Source organism: Homo sapiens, chromosome 19 (assembly GCF_000001405.40).
Source record: "Homo sapiens chromosome 19, GRCh38.p14 Primary Assembly".
Classification (NCBI taxonomy): Eukaryota; Metazoa; Chordata; class Mammalia; order Primates; family Hominidae; genus Homo; species Homo sapiens.
In genome coordinates this window covers 41,023,433-41,029,071 of record NC_000019.10, presented here as the reverse complement: position 1 = coordinate 41,029,071, position 5,639 = coordinate 41,023,433, and the positions used below count along the sequence as shown (strand labels likewise).

Genomic DNA, 5,639 nt, shown 5'->3' with positions numbered 1-5,639 from the left:
GAAGGACAGGAGGGCTACTCATCCCTTCTCCACTCACACCCACCCCAGGATCTACCTCTGTGCCTAACACTGGAGTTTACCCCAATCTCTTCTGCGATTGTTCCCTCTGCCTGCTAATAGTAGTAGCCCCTGACAAAGCAGGAATCGCCCTTAAAGGAGACTTAACTCACCCTCAAATATGATCTTTTCCTAAATACTCCCTTTCTACTGGTGGGAAAACCAAATCCAGAAAGGGGAACTAAGTACTCAGAGCAGGAGAGATGGGAGTTCAGGGCCACTCATGCATGTCCCCTGCCTACTGTCTGTTTTCTGTCCTCTGTAGACCCTTATATAAAATGAGAAAGATAAACAACAATCATAATATTAATAGGGATGATACAATCAATCTAGTGGGTTTCCCTAAGGATCTGGGTTGGAAACCAGTGGAGGTCTTTGTAAATTACAACCCTTGGGACACTTGAGCTTTTTCCACCATTTGGGGGTTGTTGTTACTATTTCTCCAGACCTGGCCAATCCCTCTGCCAACTGATAACACAAGGTACTCTTCTCCAGGTGTGTGGAAATTTCCCTTGAAATATGGCTCTGGTCTTCCACCCCTTTGCCAACCAGAGATGGTCAGTGGAGTTTCCATGGCACCCATCCTGGCCTCACTCTGAGGTTCCAGTGAGGATTCCGGGCATCAAGAGACAGCTCTGGGCAAAAGCAAAATCAAGTCAGCCCCTGGGCCCAGTGCTGGGCTGCTGGGCTTTCTGGGACGACCTACTGGGCTTGCTACACACTCCTCCTCCCAGAAACTCCACACCCACAGCCCTGGGTCTTCCTAGCCCCAAGACTCTCAAGTCCATATGCCTGGAATCCCCCCTCCTGAGACCCTTAACCCTGCATCCTCCACAACAGAAGACCCCCAGATGCACAGCCACACTTCCATCTCACCCTAATAAAACCCAGACCTTTGCATTCTTCTCCTCGGAACCCCCAAATCCACAATTTTGGGGTGCATTCTCACTCCCAGATCCCAAATCCAAAGCCCAAGTGCTCCCCTATGCAAATATTCCCAACTCCTTTGTTCTACAGCTTATCTGTTGCCCGCTCCTAAATCCACAGCCCTGGGGCACCCCTCCTGAGGTACCACAGATTTAGTCGGGAGGTACCCTCTCTGTTCAGCTTCCCTGGGGTCCCCCTCCTCCTCCTTTGCTGGTTGTGTCCAAAGCTAGGTGGGGTTCACGGAGAGGATGTAGTTGGGAGGTGAAATGAGGTGATTTTATAACCAGCCAAAGTCCACCCCTTTTTTTCAGGCAGTATAAAGGCAAACCACCCCAGCCGTCACCATCTATCATTCCACTGCCACCATGCTGGCCTCAGGGCTGCTTCTGGTGGCCTTGCTGGCCAGCCTGACTGTGATGGTCTTGATGTCAGTCTGGCAGCAGAGGAAGAGCAGGGGGAAGCTGCCTTTGGGACCCACCCCATTGCTCTTTATTGGAAACTACCTGCAGCTGAACACAGAGCACATATGTGACTCCATCATGAAGGTGTCCCAAGGCAGGGAGATGGGTGGCACGGGGTGGGGGCTGCCCAGTTGGCTGAGGCTTTGTGGCAGGGGATTGACCAGTGTGGACCAGAGTCTTAGGAAAGGGAGTTTTGGAGTTTCAGCATCAGGGTCCTAGGCTGGAAAGACAGGATCTTGGGATGTCCAGCTCCCTGACTGTGAGAACCTGGGGGCAAAACATCCCAGTACATGATATCTCGGTGCTGCGCCCATTCAGAGTGGGGGCTGCTCCCTCTAACCACTCCCACCTGCCTCCATCAGATCAGTGAGCGCTATGGCCCCGTGTTCACCATTCACCTGGGGCCCCGGCGGGTCGTGGTGCTGTGCGGACATGATGCCGTCAAGGAGGCTCTGGTGGACCAGGCTGAGGAGTTCAGCGGGCGAGGCGAGCAGGCCACCTTCGACTGGCTCTTCAAAGGCTATGGTGAGGGGGTGCCCAAGAGGGGGAAGGTGGCCAGGCCGACTCGATGGCCTCCGTGTCCCCAGCCTTCTCCCTGACTCTCCTGCCCACTGAAGGCTGCGGCAGAGCCCCCTGTCTGGCCTTCGCTCCCCAGCTCCCTTCATTGCGGCCTCTCCCTCTTGCCTGTCTCCAGCATCCCTGTCCCTGTCCCTGTCCAGATTTCTCCCTGCCTCTCTCACTGGAGTCTCCTCTTTCCCCATCTCTGAGGACAATCCTGGGTTTCTGTTTTCCAACCCTGGTTCTCTGTCTTCATTTGTCTTTTTGTCCTTCTCAGCTTCTGTGCTTCTCTGAGTTTCTCCTCTGTCCACTGACCTCTCCTTCTTCTTCCTCTGTCTTAGGATTTCGCGGTATTCCTACTTCCACATCTCCAGCCTCCTCTCCTGATAACAGTCTCTCCTCCTTCCCGACCGTCTCTGTTTCTCTTTCCGTAGTTTTCTGTCTTCACCAGCTCAGCTTAGGAGTCTTTCACCATTTTTACGCTTGAACCTGGAAGGTGGAGGTTGCAGCGAGCGGCCAAGATGGCGACAATGCACTTCAGCCTGGGCGACAGAGCGAGAATCCGTCTCAAAAACAAATAAACAAACATACAAACAAAAAAGACTCTTTCACCATTTTTATTTTCTCCTCGCAGATCTCCCCATACCTCACTTCCCCCCCTTCCATCATCTTCTCCCATCTCTGTCTTTTTCTCTCCCTCCTTCCCTCCCTATGCTCCATGGAGTGTCCCGTCTCCCTCTGTTCTGCTGTGCATCTGTCTGTCTGGCCTGTCTCTTTTCTGATCCTCTTGTTCCTGTTCGGTCTCTGTTTCTCTCTGTGTTTCTCTGACTGAGTTTGCAGTTCTCCTGCGCGAGGCTTCTGTGCCTGTTCCCACGGCCTGACCTCTCCCCACCCCTGCGTTCCTCTCCCAGGAGTGACCTGCCGCACCTGGGAGCGCACCAAGCCGCTCAGGCGCTTCTCCATCGCCACCCTGCGGGACTTCGGGGTGGGCAAGCGCGGCATCAAGGAGGTATCCAGGAGAAGGCGGGCTTCCTCATCAAGGCCGTCTAGGGCACGCGCGGTGAGCAGAACACCCCGAGTGTGGAGGCGGGAGAAGGAAAACGCCCAGGGCGAGGAACCCGCGCGCGTTCTGTCTGGGGACCGGGCCTTGGTGGGGAAAGGCGCCCGCGCTCCCAGCCCTGTAGTCTGGCGCTGGGAATGTGGCTCATCAGGGCAGTGCCTCCTGGAATTCTCAGACTAGCATCAGAGCTCTGAGTTGACTCTCTTCCCAACCCCCTTCTCCCCCAATACACCGCCACACCCGCAAGCTCCAGCATCTATCCCACCTTCTTCCTAAGCCGTACCACCTCCAATGTCATCAGCTCCATTGTCTTTGGGGACCGCTTTGACTATGAGGACAAAAGTTCCTGTCACTGCTGTGCATGATGCTGGAAAGCTTCCAGTTCACGGCACCCTCCACGGGGCAGGTAACCGGCTGCAGCCTGGCTGTCACGCCCCTACCACAACCTGCCAACTGCTCCCCTACATGGGGACAGGTGCCCCAAACTCCCACCCCCCTCCAGACAGTGTCCCCTCAAAATCAGCCCCCAATATTGGACAACCGGAAAGTTGCACCAGAACCCAGGATGGGTGCCCAATACCCAGTCTCCAAGGACACCTGGATAGCTCAACAGATGATCCCCAAAACAGAGCCTGAAGGCAGGATGCATACCCTCAGCTCAGCTCTCTCACCTGGGCACATGTTCCCATCCCCAACTTACCATAATTTCTAACAGATGCTCCCTACCCAGTTCTTCTGAATATTTTAACACCTGGACAAGTGACTGCCTCAACCCGCCTCCTGCATACCTGAACACCTGGTGCTGCAAAATCCAGCCCATCATAATCATTTCACATCTACACAAATGTCCCAGATTAGCCCACTGGAATATCTGGCCAAGCGCCCTCTACTTCACCCACTTAAATACCTGAAAACATGGACAGGTGCCCTAACCAATACCCTAAACACATAAATATCTAGACAGATTATTCCCCAGACACCCAAATAAGTGTTCCCCAACCCTTTCCAATCACACACCTTACAGAGGTGCCCCCAGTGCATCCCACTTGGATAGGTAAACACCTCAACAGGTATCCCCTCCTCTTCAACATCTTCACCAGCCCCACTTTAATACCTGAACATCTGAACAAAAGCCCCCAATCCAGACCCAATAAGTATCTCGGTAGTTGTCTTCAACCAGGCCCACCTGAATGCCTACATACCTAGACAGGTGACACTCCCCTCATACCAGCCCCGTCTGAGTAGCTAAACAGTTGAACAGGTGTTTTCCAACACATCCTGCCTTGAATGTCTGAACACCTAGCTGTGCGCTCCAATCCACCTTCATTGAAACCTGGATGTGTGCCTCAGTCCATGTTACCTAAATTTCTGGACAGTAGCCTTCTCACTTAACCCTCATGAAGACTTACATATATGTTCCCATCCAGCCCCACTGAAATACCTAAACACCTGGGCAGGTAGGTGCCTTTAACCCAGTGCCTTTCTTGCTCTGACACAGGTCCCATTCCCATCAGTTCCTGCCTCCTGACAGCGGTCCTTCCCTTCCCATCCTCTCTCTGCAACCCCAGCTCTATGAGATGTTCTCTTCGGTGATGAAACACCTGCCAGGACCACAGCAACAGGCCTTTAAGGAGCTGCAAGGGCTGGAGGACTTCATTGCCAAGAAAGTGGAGCACAACCAGTGCACGCTGGATCCCAATTCCCCACGGGACTTCATTGACTCGTTTCTCATCCGCATGCAAGGGGTACACCCCAGCAGCCAATGGGAGGAGCTGCAAAGCCAGGCAGAGGGAAATCAGGCTGGCAGTGGGGAGGGCAGACAACACAGGCCCATTCAAATTAGCCCCTGTCATAATAATCCTCACAATCCCAACTATATCAACCATCGCTGTTCCATCTACTGAGCCCTCACCCACAGGCAGGACCTGTGCACGTGAATTAAAATAGCAAGCACTTCTACAGAACTACCATGTGCCAGGCACTGCATTAAGTGCTTTAAGATAGTATCCCCTATAGCACTCACAACAGCTCTTGAAGGAGGTTCAATCACGGCCTCAATTTTACAAATGAGGAAACTGAGGCCCAAAGAGTATAAGTGGCTTACCTGAGGTCACACAGAGAGGAAGCTGAGGTCCCCCAAGCTCAAATCCTGGTCTCTCTGAGTCTAAGGCTGGTGCTTTTTTTGAGACAGAGTTTCGCTTTTGTCACCCAGGCTGGAGTGAAATGGCGCAATCTCAGCTCACTGCAACCTCTGCCTCCTGGGTTCAAGTGATTCTCCTGCTTCGGCCTCCCAAGTAGCTGGGATTACAGGTGCCCACCACCACACCAAGCTAATTTTTGTATGTTTAGTAGAGATGGAGTTTCACCATGTTGGCCAGGCAGGTCTTGAACTCCTGACCTCAGGTGATCCAAGGGCTGGTGCTTTTAGCCACCACACTCTCTAACCTATCATGCCCTGGTTATCAGACACACCTCTGTGGACAGGTGACCTGGCTTTACATTGCAGGGTCCCCACCTCCATCTGGATGTCAGTTTCTCATGTGGGAAGGCTTAAGAGAGTCTGAAGCTCAGGGATA

General features: G+C 53.1%; 1 pseudogene, besides 1 other annotated feature; it reads left to right on the top strand.

Moving 5' to 3' along the window:
- On the top strand, positions 809-4,821 carry CYP2A7P1 (cytochrome P450 family 2 subfamily A member 7 pseudogene 1; annotated as a pseudogene).
- Positions 1,889-2,417: an enhancer, noted in NCBI's record as "H3K4me1 hESC enhancer chr19:41532560-41533088 (GRCh37/hg19 assembly coordinates)". NCBI's record gives its function as "activates a minimal SCP1, AML or CMV promoter by ChIP-STARR-seq in naive and primed H9 embryonic stem cells {active_cell/tissue: H9 hESC(naive and primed)}" and the evidence as "EXISTENCE:reporter gene assay evidence [ECO:0000049][PMID:30033119]".